The 18523-nt window shown below is 39.2% G+C and overlaps 1 protein-coding gene and 1 long non-coding RNA gene across 13 annotated transcripts in view, besides 1 other annotated feature; one reads left to right on the forward strand and one right to left on the reverse strand.

Annotated features, from left to right (window-relative positions):
* Positions 1 to 510: 510 nt before the first annotated feature.
* RBMS3-AS3 (RBMS3 antisense RNA 3) lies at positions 511 to 17256 on the reverse strand. Its single transcript, NR_109804.1, has 3 exons — positions 17048 to 17256; positions 10640 to 10746; positions 511 to 1074 (listed from the first exon to the last, which is right to left on the reverse strand). It is a non-coding gene; the product is annotated as an RBMS3 antisense RNA 3 (long non-coding RNA).
* Positions 16243 to 16292: an enhancer, noted in NCBI's record as "active region_19623". NCBI's record gives its function as "activates an Ori minimal core promoter by ATAC-STARR-seq in GM12878 lymphoblastoid cells {active_cell/tissue: GM12878}" and the evidence as "EXISTENCE:reporter gene assay evidence [ECO:0000049][PMID:35858748]".
* Positions 17257 to 17387: 131 nt separating the features above from the next.
* RBMS3 (RNA binding motif single stranded interacting protein 3) overlaps positions 17388 to 18523 on the forward strand; it is a 729325-nt gene continuing 728189 nt past the window's right edge. For 11 of the 12 annotated variants that reach the window (XM_005265061.3, XM_017006180.2, XM_017006179.2 and 8 more), the window contains exon 1: positions 17388 to 18073. In XM_005265061.3, the coding sequence (XP_005265118.1) occupies positions 17999 to 18073 (75 nt within the window). In that variant the 5' untranslated portion in view covers positions 17388 to 17998. The remainder of the gene's footprint in view (positions 18074 to 18523) is intronic. The other variant, NM_001330696.1, reaches the window with a different exon arrangement.

The following is an 18523-nucleotide window of genomic DNA, read 5'->3' on the forward strand; positions in this document are numbered from 1 at the left end:
TTAGAGGAACTGCAGAGAGGCCGACGTGGCCATAACAGAGTGTGCAGAGTAGTGTGATAGGAGATAAAGTGAGGAGGTCATAGGAGCGAACTGGGCCTTAAATCCTTTCTTGCCTGCCACACCCCCATGACTGCTTTATTCCTATAGATCTTGAAGATGTTTATATCTTTTAGAGCTTTCTTTTTAAAAATTTGTATACATTTAAATGGTGCAAATGCAGTTTTGTTACATGGATATATTGTATAATGGTAAAGTCTGGACTTATAGGGTAACCCATCACCCAAATAATGAGTATTGCCCCCACTAAGTAATTTCTTACCATTCACTCCCCTCCTACCCTCCCAGCTTTCAAGAAGAAACAAGACCTTAAGCTCATTATCACTGTAATGTTAATTATCACTCAATTTCTTGGAGATTTATGGATGACCATCAAAAATTTGATTTAAAGAGGCTTATTGGTGATGAATTAAGGTGAGAAGGGTAACAAGGAAAAAAATGTGATAAAGTAGATGAGAGAGTAACAAAACAAAGTTTATTTGGCATTGGAGACTATTGTGTTTTGCCTACACAATCATTTCCCTTTAATTCCCCCTTTCTTTCCTGGAGGACTCCAATTTTGTTTTATAGTTCATTCCTATCTTCAGCCATATGCAGTTGTTTGCTCTGAGAAAATTATCTTTCTCCAGGCTCAGGAGTGGTGAATCTTAGGTAGTCTAATCCAGTCATGATAATTCCACTTTCCTCATCAGTAAATGACTTAAGAAATTCCATGGGACCAAATTTGTCCAATGAAACATGAGTAGTAGTCTAGAGGAGGACCTTCTGGTAAAAGTATCCTACATTTGTAATAGATGGAGATTGAAAAGACAGATACCTCCAGATGTTGGTGGATTAGGATAACATGGCTGAAACTGCTGCAGCCATCTTGGGACCATCAGGGTGGGAATTACCATGCTGAGTAAGATTGCCATGGTTAAGTGATTGGTCTTGGCATTCTCTGCTGAGAGATATTTGCCTCTTGCTTCAGAAAGGAGTTCCGGAATCCACACCAAAAGAAGAGAAGTCTCAAGACTCCTAGAAAGAGATAAATAAGATACTTGGAAGTTGTAGTCTCACTTGTGATAACAAACATAAGAAATAATTTTTACATCTATCAGCAGAGAATCATCAAATATCATTAAATGTTACATACTCCAAAAATGCTTTTTGCAAAAGAAATGCTTACAATATGTTGTCAGAAGAAAGAAGTATATGAAAATTTTATAAAATCTCAATAAAATAATGCTTTTATCTGGATCTCACACATAAAATAGAAGGAGAGAGAGAAAATGAGAAATACATATTCATATATTCATATGGGAAAATGCCAGAAGCAAATGGACTTAACATTAATAGCAATTAGCTCTGGGTGATAGAATCAAATGGGATTATATGTGTAAATGTTTGTGTTTATTTTTATATAATTTTGCATTTCAACATTTTATAGTAAAAGAGTAGAGCTTTTACAGTCAAGTAAAAGTTAACAATTTTTCAAAAATCAAATAAAGATGATCTCAGGTGTCCTGCAGGCCTTCTCTTATACAATTTTTAAAGTCTGGGAGTCCTTTTTCTGAAACTGAGTGAGACCCTCAGTTAACCTTTGCCCCAGTCCAGCTCCTAAGTCAGATTCTAGCCTCAATTTGAATACTTCATGGAAGTTGGATGTCTAAACTGTTCCAAAGAACTGATGAGATTCTCTGCAGTTCACCCATTCACTGCCTTTCTCTATCTCTTGGGGCCAACAGGCTATCCCTACAGTGAGTATGGAACTGTCAACTCAGGGGTGGCCTGGCCTTCTTAGGCTGCCCTAACTTTCCTAAACTGCATAGACTTAAAATGGTGGACTATGGACTTCATAAGGCCCTTCTCTTAGGTTATAACACTACCTACTGATGATCTGCACAAAACAAGAATGGTAGTGACAAGTTTTACTGCATAAATATTTTTCTATCCCCAGGGCTAAGGCAGCATGAGGCTAAGCATGCAGATGATATCGCCAGGATTGCTGCATAGTACAAATTAGAATTCAAGTCAGCTTGAGTTACACAGGGGCTTGGGCCTCTAAGCTAATGTATGGTGACCTGCAGAGGCTAAAATAAGGCAGAATCTAGACTTTTCCACTAGTTATAAGACTGAAAATAATTGCTGAGTCATTGGTAAAATACAACATTTAGAGCTAACATGTAATATTTCAGAATACACATCGCAGCAGTCTTATTCTTCCTATTTCCTGGCGTAAGCATGGCATATAATCTGTCAGCCTGTATGTAACGGAGCACTCTTGGCATAATATTTATCTGCTTCATGATAGGAAAGAAAATGAAATGGTGGCTGAACAGGCATACTGTGTTTTTATGGGGACAGTCTACTAGTGTGACTATCAGCATAGTGATGTCCCAAGTTGTCACAGTTTAGATTGCTCTATAATCAATGTCTGAGGAAAAGACTTGGGTACAGATAGTTTGCTTGGGATGTGATGTCCTGAAGTAGGAGAGAGTGAGTGGGGATGGTGGGAGGACAATCCAATATAATGGTGTGTTATCGAAGTCACTGCTAAAAGATTTTCAGCAAAATCCAAACCAAAACAAAAACGTGGAGTTGGTCAGTAGGGTCCAGTGTCACTGAAACTTCCAGAGAAGGTGCAAAGGACTCCCAGACTTGTCTGCCTGCAGGCTGGGAAACAGGAACATTTACCCACCAGCTCCTTTCCTATGCTCTTTGGTGCTGCATTGGTGCAATTGCTCTCTAGTTTCAGGCTACACTCCACCCAGGTATCCAGCATCTCTGAAAACCAACTCTGGGAGAAGGTCCTGGGGCAGAAGTAGAACACTATGTGGCATTTGCTTGAGATGGGGTACTTTACGCAAGGAGAGTCTATGCTTTCATGGAACTGTTCCCTAGAGCTAAGGTGGCCAAGGGGATGTGACATGGGCTACTAAAGATCCTGGTGATTTACATCCCTTAGAAATAGCATTTTGGGAGTCAGAGCTTGGACAAATTGGATTTGAACTATGTAGTCTGTATTTTAATTCATTTATTGAGTACCTATTAAGTTCTAGGTGCTGGGGAAACAGAAATGGATAGGATCCCTTTTAAGATTCTACTTTAGTACAGCAAATAATCTCCTTTAAATTAAATATGTGACCTACTGTACTGAGGTATGCATAGGATGCCTAGTGAGGTTTCATGGGAAAGCAATTTTATCCTAGACTGATGAAGACTCTCAGCAGGTAAGAGTTGGGACACACACACACACACACACACACACACACACACATACACATACATATGTATATATATGTGTGTGGGTGTACAACTGGGTAATATGTGTACATGGCAGAGTAATGGTTGCCTGCATCATGTGAATTATTTATCCTTATTATCCAAATTCAAACTTACAGGCACTTTAAGATTTATGGAGTACAAAAGATCACACTATAGAATGGCTTCAGTGAAAGCGTATTTTTCTCCCAATTCATATTTATGCTCTGGATACTTTTATATTTCTGATTTTCTGGTACCTATATTTATTGCAAAAATAAAAAGCATTCATGAATCTTATTCCTAGGGCACAATTTGTATTCTGCAGAAGAAAACCTTTGCACCTGCCACTAAAATGCATCCACTTCTGGGGTGGAATGCACCAGCTGTTCCCAGTCTCCAACGGCACGCCAGGCCGTTCAGCACCAAGAATGAGGCATCATATCCCAGGCAGATGAAACTGGTGAGGAAATTTCAAGTCGACAGAATGCAATTACCCAAATTGAAATTAGGCCAGGGGCATATCAGGAGGCCCTTCCCATCTGTTGGGGAAAAGGATCACCAGATATTTACTGAGGGCAAGTGGTCAGAATCTTAGCTTTAGGAATCATTTCAAAGGCAGAAATTTTAAAATATACCAAAGGAAAACTGCACCTGGTATAAAAATCATATCCCTTCTCTGGCAAATAAATAATATTAGGGCCTTGAGAAGCTCAGCCCTTTCCTGCTCTGGGAGAAAATAAATGTTTATGGATGGGGTGGTTAAATATTTCTACATCAGCTACTCTTAGCAAGGACATGCTATAATGGACAATTGGTTATACTGGAACTGACAAAAAGAGATTTCCCAAACCAAACATATTGAATCCAATACATTTATCCCTGGTTATAATGGATAGAGCCTTCCATTATGAGCTTATGAAACAACACCATTCGATTTTTCTAGGGGCCTTGACATAAGCATTGTTTCTTTACCAGAAAAAATAAGCTAATTTTTAGAGTTCGTAGCAAAAATAAATAAGCTGTTGTTGTACAGGCCTTGACTAGTTCCCATGTGACATACATCAGAACCATAGACTCTGCAGGTCCATTTGGTACAGGTACAGGGGTCTTCTGCCTGTAATCCCTGTCCTTGGTAACATTTGTAGCTTTCTCCTGGGAGGATGACTGGTGAGGGAATAGATGAATTTATCTTAGTCTTTGTACCATTGTAAACCCAAGCATTGGCATAAGGTCCACACAGCCCTTTAGAAATAAATGAATAAAGCATTTCACACCAAATCATGCTTTGGGGGTAATCCATGTCCATCGTATCGAGCAAATAAACTGACTTTCTTTTATTGATTCCTCTCAAGAACTTGCCTTTTTTGGGGAATAAGAACCCAACATTTCCAGCCTGAGTGAGGAATAATAGAGGCACCTCTGGGCCAGACATCTTCTTTTCCAGCTGCTGCCTTTTGAAGATGTGGTGGCCTCGGGTTCCCACATGCCACACCCCAAAGTTGGTGCCAGGGAGTCTTCTCTGTACCATCCCTGCAGGTGGCTATTTGATAGCACATTGCTAATCCTGAAAAACTCTCACATCTCTTTCCCATTGGATGTAAAGAGGAAGGCAAAGAGTGAGCTGCATAATAAATCTTATTCAGTATTAAAAGAAAAAAAATTTTTTGTTGTTAGGGTGGTTCACTTTGCACTCTCTTTACTGGCTCAGAGGCTGCATGCATGTTGGGGAATATGAGGGAATGGCCCCAGCTGGAAGGGGTGAGACAAGTTTAACTGTCAAATTTAATGCAGCTGCCCACTATGAGAGGGAAGAAGCCAGAGGAAGGCTATCTACAGGCTGAGTCTCTCACTGTCTCTTTCCCCCAATGATGTCACCCTTTACTCACCACTATGGCAGTTAAGATCAAGAGTCAAGGCCAGGTGCGGTGGCTTATGCCTGTAATCTAGTGCTTTGGGAGGCTGAGGTGGGAGGATCGCTTGAGGCCAGGAGTTTGAGACCAGCCTGAGCAACATAGTGAGACCTCATCTCTACAAAAGGTAAAAAAACAAACAAACAAACAAACAAACAAACAAACAAACAAACAGGAGTCCCAAAGTCTCAGGGGCCTCACACTCACACTGTTTTCTCCACCACACAGTGCCAAACATTCCCAGAAAACCTCCTAAAATGAGCTCAGTACAACCCATCCTGGTCATAAGTGGATACTGTTCTAAACTCTTAAGAGGTACAAGCATTTCATCACACTTGCTAAATGCTAACCTGAGCCTTGCCACATTTTTACTAATTGGACAGAACGTATTTCTTAACATTTCTGTTTTTGATTCTTGTTAATTGGTGAGTACCAAAGTACATCTCTCACAGAGGAAAACAGAACATATTAGTTAAGGTTGATCCAGAACTCCCAAATGTTAAAACTTGGCTTTATTTAGAGGTTTAGCTTGTACTAATTACCCCTTAGCTTTACTAGCCCTATATAACAAGCTACCTTCTGCATATTTTATGTGAAAGCTGATTTTCTGAAAGGATGAGAGTTGTAGGAGCAAGGAATGAAATAGGTGCTAAGTTTTATTTCCTGCTAAGTAATTCTCCTCAAGGTGGGTAAACTTTTAGTAGTTAAATTGCTAAAAACAAAGATTCTACACTACAAGAACAAATCTCCAGTGACAATTATTTGTCTGTGTTCTTAGCATTTATGAGTCTCAGTAAACAGTCAGTACATTTATGTTCCCCCCATTACCTTCGGTCATAAACTTCCTTAAAGGAAAACGAATAATTATGTTTCCTGACTGCATAATGAACATAAACATCCAGAATACTGAAGCCCTGGTGGGATGGATGGAGCATCTGGACTACCAGGGGTTTAACTGTTTTTGAGGCACTGGCAAAAGTGTCAGGCAGGCTGTATGGCCACAATTTAGTGCTGTTCATGCGGATGTCATCCCTAGAAGGCAAAACATAATTTGTGGTGGTTTTTTTTGGGTGTCAGGGCCTCCCAGTGTAAAGTTGCTGGGAGGGGCTGGGAGTCTGGCAAACCCTCTGGCTCAGGTGCGACAACCTCATGTTGCTGATGTGAGCCCCGCCAGCCACCCCCTGGGGCCAGTGAGTGTACCCCTGTAGGCAGAGAGACGCAGGCTCATCTTAGTTTAATAGCAAGCGTATTGTAGCCGTCCAGGAATCTTGGAATCACAAGGTGACCTTCAATGACTAAGTACAACCTGCATTTTACACACAAGGCAACTGAGGCTCCAGCTGGGGGATTGATATTGCCAGGGACAGTCACCGCCAAGAAACCCTGCATGTCCTGATTTTGGGTTTGATACTCTTAAATTTCTTCCTCGGAGTCAGGAAGGTATGGTGCAGGTTAGAGAGTAAGGACTAGGCAAAGAAAACAGAGTTAAGAAAGCAAGTAAAGTAAATGTGAGGGAATTAAATTTTTCCTTTGTAGTTCGTGTGGGTTTACTCTCTGTACTGTGATCAGAAAACACAAGACCTACTATTTTGTGGCACAATAAGGTGACTATAGTTCATAATAACTTAATTGTATATTTTAAAATAATTTTTAAAATGTAATTGGATATCTCATGTACCCCATACGTATATACACCTATGTACTCACAAAAATTTAAAAAATTAGATTTTTGTTTAAAATAAGAAAACACATCAATGCAACTTTTTTTACCACTAGAAGTGTAAAAATGAAAATGAAGGAAAATAAGAAAATTTTCAGCACTTTTCTATCAGTGGTGAAAACTAGTGTTTTTAATCCTTAATTGACCCCAGCTGATATTTTTGTAAAACTAGAATGAAAATTACTAGAAAATGAAAAAGCATAAAGCAGACTTCCAAAATCCAAGTCCAACCTTTATTATAGACAAGAGACTAACAATTCTTTGGACAAATGACCATAAAGTTGCTAGACATGAATTCTTTATCCCAGACTCACTGGTCAGGGATGTGTAAATTTTGCCAGTCAGCACTTGTCTGCAGACCACACTTTGGGCAGCATTGCCCTTCATCTCCTTTTCTGTTCTGTTTTGCATATTTTTCTGGTCTCTCTGAATTGTACTTTTCTGATATCAGGGATGGGGATCTGGACATCTGTCATTCTAGATAGTACTTTATTGTGTTGAATAACAATTTAAGAAAACAATTTAAATTTTCCCGCATGCCAAAAGGAAAGACATCAGCTTAAAACCATAACGAAAACAGAGCTCCTGGAATACTGTATTGCTCTATATCAGAAACACCACTGGTGGTTTAAGTCTCTCTTAAAGGGCAGTTAATTTGGGGACACTTTTGGTTTACACAGTTTAAGTGTAAAAACGATAGAAAATATTAACCATTGTCAATTGTCATTCCATTTAGAGACTCCGTCAAATCTTCTGTGTCCTCTGAAAGGCCTGTAAACTGTCTCAGTACATCAGTTGGGAGTAGGGTGGCCAGATTTAGGCTATAAAAATACAAAATACCCAGCTAAATTTGAATCTCAGACAAGCAATGAATAATTTTTATAAGTTCAGTTCAAATTTTTTGAGGCATACCATATGTAATATTTTAGACATACTTATATTTTAAAACTTATTATTTTCTGAAATTCAAATTTAACCAGCTGTCCTGTATTTTATGTGGCAATTCTAATTAGTAGCCTTTTGGCATGGACTTCTGCCACTCTAGATTTTTCTGGGGAGAAGAATCGGCCCTGCCAAATCAAATATAGCCATATCGACCATATTTGCTTAGCTATTGGCAGCTGGAAGCTGGAAGTCAATAAAAGTGAAGATACTTCTTTCTGAAAAGAATGTGTTTCCCATGTGGCAAAGAAGTTACATATTTTTCCCTAGCTTGAGGCTTTCAGTTGCATGTTTTCTAATGCACTGCTCCGCTGATGGTACTAATCATGGTAGAAGGCATGCTTGTGAGAAGGACCACTTGGAATCTACCTCCTCCATCAGGACAAAATTCACTCCATGGGCTGCAAGTAGCGGAATTTGTGGTATCAAAACATGCAGAAGGCATAGTGAGAGACTGAAAAAAAAACCCACTATTGTTATAACACATTATAAACAAACTGCCAAGAGATGTATCAATATTTGAAAAAAATATAAATTTAGTGAGAAGTACATGGCAAAAGTCCTATATTAGGCTATTCTTGTATTGCTATAAGGAAATACCAGAGACTGGGTAATTTATGGAGAAAATAAGGTTAACTGGTTCATGATTCTGCAGGCTGTAGAGGAAACATAGGTCTGGCATCAGCTTCTGGGGAGACTTCAGGGAGCTTACAATCATGGTGGATGGCAAAGAAGAAGTAGGCACAACACATGGCAAAAGCAGAATCAAAAGTATGGGGTGAGAGATGCCTCACACTTTTAAATGACCAGATCTTGTGAGAACCCTCTATCACGAAGACAGTACCAAGCCATGAGGGATCAGCCCTGATGATTCAAACACCTACCACCATGCCCCACAGGGGATTAAAATTCAACATGAGATTGTGCAGGGACACATATCCAAACTATATCAAGTGCAAAGGTAGAATTAGAATGTTAAAAGTGAAAATATTGCATACTTATTCAGGTTTAAACCTTTCAAAGACTTATCCTTTGCCATTCATTGGTAGCTGTTATTATTTCATTAAGTGATATTTGTCTTTATGTCTTAAATGAGAATTTTGACATCATTTTGATGTAGAACTAATGCTCCCAGATTTTAAAGAAAGACAAACTTTTCTTAAATTGATGTTTGGTTCAGATAGAGAGGAAATGACTAAAGTACACATGTAATTTATTTTTCTATTGTCACCTCTGGGCTTTTAAAAATGTCCTCTCAGATAATAATAAAAATCTATACTTTGGAATACACTTACCCTAATATTTCTTTTAAAATAATGTTCACTTTAAATAGTGAAATAACATGTTCATTTTAAGATAAATTGGAAAATGCCAAAATTTATCAAAAAGAAAAGTAAAATCACAAAATACCTAACCACAGAGGAAACAATTCACTGTGGTTATTTTGGTATTGTTCTTCCATTCTCTTTGTATTTCATAGTTGAAAACCTGCATATATAATATCATATTCTGATTTTTTTCCATTAGTTAATCACCCTAAACATTTTCCATATTGATAAATTTTTTCTCAGTATCATTTTAATGGTTGAATCATAATTTATTCATTGGTGATTTATTTAACCAACCTGCTAGGCCTGGACATCAGGTTACTCCAATTACTTACACTTAAAATGTTAATCGGATGATCTATTTTAGATTCTTAGAACTGAAATGACTGGAAAATGATCTTTAAGACTATATATTTTGTCTAAATTATATTAGAAGCATTATAGATATTTATTAGGAATGTATTAGAGTGCCCATCTCACTGACTTTTATAGCTGCCTTATTTATCTTTCATTATATTAGGATTTTCCAAAGAAGTGGAACCATATTTCATATATATATATATATGAGAGATTTCAAGGAATTGGTTCACACAATTATTGTGGGAGCTGGAGGGTCCCCACAATAACCTTCAGGGTGAGCCAGCAGGCTGGAGACCTGGGGAAGAGTTGGTAAAGAGTCTTGAGTTCAGAGGCAGCCTGGGAGCAGAATTTCTTCCTTCTCCAAAGATCTTGGGTGTTTATGCTTAAGGCCTTCAACTGACTGATGAGGCCCACCTACATTACGAAGGGTAATATGCTTTACTCAAAGTGCCCTAATTTAAATGTTAACCACATTTAAAAAATACCTCACAGCAACACTTAGACTAGTGTATGACCACACAACTGGCACCATAGCCATGCCAGGTTGACAGGTGCAATTAACCATCACATTTGTCATCCAGAGAGAGTTTTTGCTATGTGATAAAAAGACATGCTCTTTCTTTCCAGTTTTTTGTCTGTCTCCATGCAGACACAATTGACTTATTTAGAACTTATATGTATACTGTTTTTCCATTTTAAACACAAAGGTTATCTCATCCAATTTTCAAATAAAGCATTTAAGATTGCCATCAGATGATGCTGAGGACTAAGCCTCTGGGCCCTACACAGACATGAGTCAGGAATATTCCTCTACCATGTTGTAACTGGGCAAACTTGGATAGGGTAGTTACATCCTCATCTTCTCAATTTCCTCTGTTGTAAAGTGTGAAAAATCGTGCCTACTTCCCAGGTACTTGTGAATATTTATTGAGGAAATATTTATATTACTAGTAGTATATACTGTGTAGTAGGCCATGTATTAATATATTTTTTTCTTTTTTGTTTCAATCAGTTCAGGATGCTATAACAAATTACCATAGACTGAGTGGCTTAAGCAACAAACATTTATTTCTCACAGTTCTGGAGGCTGAGCAGTCCAACATCATGGTGGCAGCAGACCTGGTGTCTGATGAGGGCTTGCCTCCGGGTTTGCAGAAGGCAGGTCTTCTCATTGTATCCTCACATGGCAGAGAGGAAAGAGAGATCACCTCTTCAATATCTCCTCTTATAAAGACACTAATCTCATTCATGAAGCCTCTGCTCTACTAACAAAATTATCTCCCAAGGGTCCCACCTGCTAATACCATCACACTGGGGGTTAGAATTTCAACACATGAGTCTGGGGAGGATACAAGCATTCAATTCATAACACTCTAACTTTTTTCTTTTTTAGCTCATCAACTCCAGTACCCATTTCCAACAGTCAGTGTACAAAAACATTTCCCTCTTCAGAATACCTAGTACTTTAACAGTGCTCCTTCCAGAAAACCTAACATTTTTTACCTTTTGGGTATAAGTCTCATTTACCCTTTTATTTTTTCACAAAATAGTGTCCGTTAACCACTAGCACATAAATGAGATGATTTCAGAGAAACCATTTGCAGTAGTTTCCTGCCCCCATAGCTTTTTCCCAGTTTTGTTTCTGTGGCTTCAGGTTTCGGTTACCAGTGGTACAGTATGACATTTTGAGAGACTGAGAGAAAGACTCATATAACTTTTACTACAGTATATTGTTATAATTATCTTTTGTATTATTATTGTTGTTATTCTCATATTGTGCCTAGTTAATAAATAAATCTGTCACACATATGTATGCGTAGGAAAAAAAACATTACTTATAGGATTCAGTACTATCCAAGATTTCAGGCATCCACTGGGAGTCTTGGAATATATCCCCTATGAATAAGAGGGAAGTACTCCATTTATTTATTTAAGAAATATTTATTAAGAGTGTATTAAATCCCAAGGACTATTCTGTGCATTGGAATATAATGTGTTAAATAAACTCATTGCCCTGTGGAGCTTAGATATTAGTGGGAGATATACCCAAATAAGAAAACCAAAAATGTATAACCAAATTATAAGTAATGCTGTATTAAACAGGTGGCCTAGGATAATCTCTGGTAACAATCACCACATTTTACTAGTACACTGTAGCAAAGGTTTATTTCTTGATTATGAGAAGTCCACAGTGGCTAGTCCAGGCAGCTATCCAAATTTGCTGCCCTCAGCTTTCCAAGATGCTCCCTTCTTGCGGCTCCTTCATGTCAGCACGTGTTTCCACTAAAGAAGAATCAAACAGCAGCAGCTAAAAGCTTTTACATGTGTCACTGCTGCTTCATGTTTTATTGGCCTTGGCAAGTCACGTGGCCAGGCCTACTTTCAGTGGAGTGAGAAAATGTGAATCTTGGTAATCCCAGTGGTAACAAAGAACTGGATGTCCCTACCACAAGTATTAAATGCTATGAAAAATGGAGATAGAAAGAGAGGATACAGAACATGTAGTTTTTGCAAAGATGATAGAATAAAAATAGACATAATCCTTCATGTGTATTTTTGCTTTCTAACAAAGTATGTATTTCAGAAAAAAATTAAGACGATTTAAAGAAAACTATTTAATAACTATTGTTACAAGTTGGTTCTCAGATATGAGAAAAAACATAAAGATTATACATGAATGGCTGGTGTTTAGAAATATAGAGTTGTTAAATCCATTTGAGGACAGGGACAATAATATTTATATTGGTACCCTCAATTATTTAGGCACATAGTAAGTATTCAATAAAACGCTGTTGAAGTTAATAATTCTCATTGTTTTTATTTCTTCTTGCTTTTCTACCTGATTAAATGTCTCAAACTAAATTATGGTACAATTTTGTCCTGAGGTTTGATATTGTCTTTCAAGGCTAATTTTAATCATCTTTACATCAATATTTTTATATTCAACTATTGTTTAAATTTGGACCACATACACTTGAATCACTAGTTGTCTCTCCTAATTTGTCTTGGGTGTTTTCCTAAACCATTGGTAAGTATTCTGCAGAGAAAAAAAAAGTTGTAACAGTACCTTAATGTTGGAATTTGAAATCTACCATTTTATATATATATATTTAAACAACTTTTATGTTTAACATTCCTTTGACAAGTGCTGTGTTGGAGAGGGATTTAATACATTTAAATAAAGTGGGCATAAAATGCAAAGATTTACAAAAATTCTTTCAAGGTCATGCATGTCCTTCTTAAAGATAGAAGGGTATATGTATGTAGTTTTTAGGGTAGTAGAATTACGGTTTGTCTTTCGACTTCTGTTCTTTTCTCTTGCTTTCCACTGAATCTTTTTTTTTAGATGGAGTTTCCCTCCTGTCACCCAAGCTGGAGTGCAATGGTGCAATCTTGGCTCTCTACAACCTCCGCCTCCCGGGTTCAAGTGATTCTCCTGCCTCAGCCTCCCGAGTAGCTGGAATTACAGGCATGCACCACCACACCAGGCTAATTTTTGTATTTTTAGTAGAGACGGGGTTTCACCATGTTGGTCAGGCTGGTCTCAAACTTCCAACCTCAGGTGATCCACTCGCCTTGGCCTCCCAAAGTGCTAGGATTACAGGTGTGAGCCATTGCACCCAGCCTTGAATAAATCTTTATAATTTAAAACACAAATCATCCAAAGAAAGGACTCAGTTATTCTCTGAGTGGATAAGTCAAGAGCAAACTAGAAGAGCATTCTCATCTCTACCCCGGTGACCTTCATTTCAGCATTTCGGTGCTATTGCTTCCCCATTTCCCAGTGGCAGGTCTGAGGCATCATCTCAGGCCCCTTAGTCAAAAACTTGTCCTACATCAGTGCCTCATCTGGGCATGGTGGCTCAAGCCTGTAATCTCAGCACTCTGGGAGGCCGAGACAGGTGGATCACCTGAGGTTAGGAGTTCGAGAACAACCTGGCCAACATGGGAAAACTCCATCTCTACTAAAAATATAAAAATTAGCCTGGCATGGTAGTGGGTGCCTGTAATACCAGCTACTTGGGAGGCTGAGGCAGGAGAAATACTTGAACCCGGGAGACGGAGGTTGCAGTGAGCTGACGTCACACCACTGCCCTTCAGCCTTGGCAACAGAGCAAGACTCCATCTCAAAAAAATAAAAAATAAAACTCAATCGATCAATCAATCAGTCAGTGCCTCTTCTGTCTAGCCTGTGAATCACGTGACCCAGTGAGAGTCTATGCCCTTTGATGCAGTTTGCTGTTCTTGGATTTGTATGAAATTTGTTGGTTAGTTGGCAAATAGGACACAGCTGTCTTCTGATTTAGAGAGTGCCTTAAACCAGTTACCTCCTACCTTAACTTGATCATTTAAATGGAAAGCGCTACTGCTCCAACAGAGCAGAAATGATATAAAAACTATTTCTGATGTGAGTATCTTGCCTCCTGAATTGCCATGGCTACTGGTGTCTCTGAGGGAAGAAAATAAAAAACAAAAACACAGGTTTTACAATTCCCACAGGTGGTAAACCTACTTTGCATTACTTAAGAAAAGCTTTGAAGGTGCAATGAGGGTTTTTAAGCTAATGACAATTTATGCCTAAAACATTACAATAATCCAACGAAATCAAATAGCATTTTAAAAAGTAACAATTTTATGTAGAAATTGCTGATAGCATCAACACATGCTGGGAACTTTACAGATAATGGGTTATATCAGTTTTGGCTGAGGAGTCATTTGGCCTTTCATTTGTAAATAAGACAGTATTCTTTTCCCTTTAAGGAGTATCTAGACCATGTATTAATGAAAGAGTATTTATATCCTTTGTCCATGGTGGCAGAATTAGCCAAAGCAATCTTGGATTTTGTTCTTACAAGATAGAACTTGGAGGAGCATTAATAGGTTGTTTAAATGACAGCATTCTATAGTTGAAGATGACTAGATGTAGAATCTGAATATTTGGATAAAGTCCTTGCTGTACTGTTAACTATCAATTAATTAGCTTTCCATATCAGTTCTTTACTAAGGTTTATATGATCTGGCCCAAGGGTACCTCCCTAACCCCATTTTATGGTCTTTCCTCACTTGCTTCATTTCAGCCTCTGTGCCGGATCTTGCACATTCCAAAGACACAGTCCCACTGCAGGCCGTTCTGTACTTACTGTTCCCTGTGACTGGGATGTTTTTCCCCCATGTGCAGGCTGGCATTTGTTAAGCAGATCCAACATGGTACAAGGTGTTTTAAAAGCTTCATGTGTTTATCTGGGTTGGTTTTCTAAATAACTGTATGAAGTGAATAGTGATATTTGATGGATGAAGAAACTGAGGGAGATGAATGAAGAAGGGGCAGGATTGGAACCCAGGCAGTCTGGATGGGATCCAAGGCATTAACACGAAGTATTCTCACAGTGCACAATACCCAGAGAATGGTTCACACCCTTGCTTTGACCTTAGGAAAGCATTTTCCAAGGCTCTTCCTTGGAGAGCATTTTCCTATCTTGTTTAAAGTAGAATCTCTGTGACTTTGTTTCTCTTTACTCTGTTTCATATTTCCTTACAGCGCTTTGTATTTCCTGACATTATACTGCATATTTACTTCTTTATCCCTTTGTTTGTCCCCCCTTCCCCACTAAATATAAACTCGATGAAAGAAGGACCTTGTTCTGATTCATGTGCCTCTATATCCTGCACCCAGGTCAATTCTTGACCTGTAACAGGGACTGAAATGTACTGAAAGAGGGATGTAAGTCAGGTTGAAAAATTATTAATTATGTCTAACATTTTATTCTTCAGACATTTACTGAACACCCATTTTGTGCTCAACTCTATGCAAGTTTTTGGAAATATAAAGGCAAGTGAGAACAATGTGACCTCCTGCCCCCCTAGAGTTTAGAACATCATGGAAGAAACAAACAATAAGCAGGCAAATACATGTAGAATAAGCCTTCTATGAGGGCAAATATAAAGTGCAGCAGAGAAGGAAGGGTTTAGAGAAAGCTACTGTGAGGAGGTGATATCCATACTGAGACCTGAAGGACAGGCTGAAGGGTAAAAGAGGTGGAGATGGACTTGGGAGAGCACTCCAGGAAGAGGGAATGACAGAAGCCTCTGAGAGCATGTTCCTGTCCTGAAAGTAGCTCAGAGTGACTCCGGTATAGGATGTGAGGGGCAGAGTTGAAAGTCCGAGACTAGAGTAGAAAGCCAGGGCCAGACAGCTCGTCAAGTGTCCTGAAACCTATTCCAAAGAGTCAGGACTTTATTGTTTGAGAAACGTGACACCACTGGAGGATTTTTAAATCAGTGTCATTTTTAGTGTCTGATTCAGTGTACTGCCTTCAGCCAGGAGAGTTGGCAGTATTTCTATTTTATAGATGGGACAACTGAGGCCCCAAATAATACATTTAAGAGATAGGTGGGGTTGATTTAATATTCTCAATCACCATGTTGTCAGGGCCTCCTAACTCTTACCCTCTCACCCTCCATCCTTCCTTCCTTCTGATTGTTATTCTTGTCAAAAGTAAAACATAAAACTATTTACCTGCCATCCTTATTTTTATCCAAGGAACACGTATGCACTCACACAGCTTCCAGAAACCAGTTCCCCTCGGTGGAAGCCAGTTGCTTTAGGGGTGGTGCGGCTTGTATGTGGATGGACACCATGTGTGCACTGAGCCCAAATTCTCTGTTCTTCTTGACTAGGAAGCTGGATTTGTACCAGGGACCTTTTATCTAAATAGGAGACTCTGGGCTCAGGAGAACAGAGCCGACTTGACAAAGTAGAAAAGAGCTCAGTATTGGTCTGCCCACGCTTTGGGCATGCGTGAGCACTCGCAGCAAAACACAGCTGGCACATCTAATTTTAGCCTCGCCCGCCTTGAAAAGGGACCCTTTAAGGAAATATATTTTATCTGAAACAATTTGTATTATAATGTAGCAGCTGATAGACATGACAGAATATTATCATTGGTGGGAAAAAACTCTGCCAAGCAATTATGATTTTTGTTCTTTTTTTTTTAGATGATATCAGTAAAGTGATTAAAGCATCAATGCAACAAAATAATCATAAAGAGAGAGACAATGGGAGAAACAGATTTTATCTGTAAAATATCTGACGAACCTAAGGGGTCACTTCCTTTGATTTTTTTTTTTTTTTTTTTTACAAAATGGATGTATTTTAAAAAAGTTATTATTTTTGATATGTTCAGTTGATCAGTCCAATCTGATGACATGTGGCATTAATAGTAGTCCTGGAGTAGACCCTAAAATTTCTTCAATACTTAACATCCACCAAGTTTTCCAGGTAGTAAAAGGTTAGTTTCTCAATCAGCTCTTGGATGCGTCTGGCTCTAGCGTGTTAACAGATTTTGAAAGCATCCGGGACTTACTTTTTTCCCCTTTAACCAGCAAGGTTAGTTCCCCTGCCTTTATTTCTTTTCCTTTCTCCTCCTTCCTTCTTTCGTCCTCTCTTCCCTCTCTTCTGTGTTTTGTTTAGCAGTGTGGCTTACCTTGGAACTTGGCAAAAAGAGGAACAAAAAGCAGCTCTTGTGTGGGGTAGATGGAGGAGGGATAAGAAATAATCCACCGCCCGCATTTGAGTTCTTCAGGTTCAGTTCCAGCGGCAGCAGCGTTGCTGCAAAAATCGCTTGCTATTCGAGATAGCCAGCAGAGGGAATCGGAACTTTGCTTGCAGCAGGGGTTGAAGCAGCCTTTTTTTTTTTTTTTCTTGGAGGAAATACTGCAGCCTTCTGGACTGCGTACGCTGCTCCCTGGAGAGGCTCTCTCGGTTCCACCCACCGGCTGGAAGGAGGGGAAGTGAATGAAAGGACAGGACAAGCCCCGAACACCATGTCACTCTGGGAGGGAGACAGCAGCAACTAAGCTGTACAAGGTTTTTTTTTTTTTTTTTTCTTCCTTTTTTTCTTTTTTTTTTTCTTTTTCCCCTTTCTTTTTCTTTCTTTCTTTCTTTTTCTTTCTTTCTTTCTCTTTCTCTCTCTCTTTTTTCTTTTTCTTTAAGGTGGGGAAAGAGACAACCAAGAGACAGGAAGCTGATCTGCAAGGATTCGGAGTTGTGCTAAAAGGACTTTGATTTTTTTCCCCCTTTACGAACGCTGGCAATTGACATCACTACAGACAGCCTGGTTAGAGAACAAACTGCCTCATCCCAAGTGGACCCCGGCAGCTGGGGGAAGCCAGGCAAGATCTGGGAAGGCTGTGTGTGGGTGTTTTTTCTACAGATCTCACTCCTCGCCCTTTTTTTTTTTCCTTTGGTGTGTGTTTTTTGTTTTGTTTTGTTTTTTAAAAAAATTCTTGCTGTGTTGGAACTAGCGAGTGGTGGAGTCTCTGAAGCCTCATCAGTCACCGGGACTGTCAGGAATAGTGGTTTAAGAGGAAGCTCGGCCTGGGGCACTATACCCTGTCATCCAGTTCCCTGCCTCGGAGATAAAGATTCCAGCTACATGGGCAAACGCCTGGATCAGCCACAAATGTACCCCCAGTACACTTACTACTATCCTCATTATCTCCAAACCAAGGTATGGCTTGACCCACGGTCTGGCGATCAGCGTGGTATCGTTCTGCACTTGGGATGGGAAACAGACAGGCGTGTGAATTATTAGTTAACCCCCACCCCCATCACTTCTTCCTGCTTCTTTGAAATTAGTGACATACCAATGGAGTTAATGAGGCAGAGGAAGACATAAGAAGAAAGCAGCAAACCCGGAATTGTAGCTTTCTCTTTAAGGAGAGATAATAGTTTCACTTGAGTTCAGTTTCTTTGTTGTTATTTGGCAGCATAAATGGTCCTGATATCAGGAACGTCTTTTGCAGATGGGCACGGTTTTTAGAAAGCAGATCACAACAGTGATTACCAGGCACAAGAATATAATTTCAGGGGCTTTTCTGGTGAGCTGTTCTTTGATTGTGGCTCTAAAAGGGTTTTTCCCACTGGATAGGACGTGCAACGGTGGGGGTAACTCAAACTT

Source organism: Homo sapiens, chromosome 3 (genome assembly GCF_000001405.40).
Source record: "Homo sapiens chromosome 3, GRCh38.p14 Primary Assembly".
NCBI classification, from domain to species: Eukaryota; Metazoa; Chordata; class Mammalia; order Primates; family Hominidae; genus Homo; species Homo sapiens.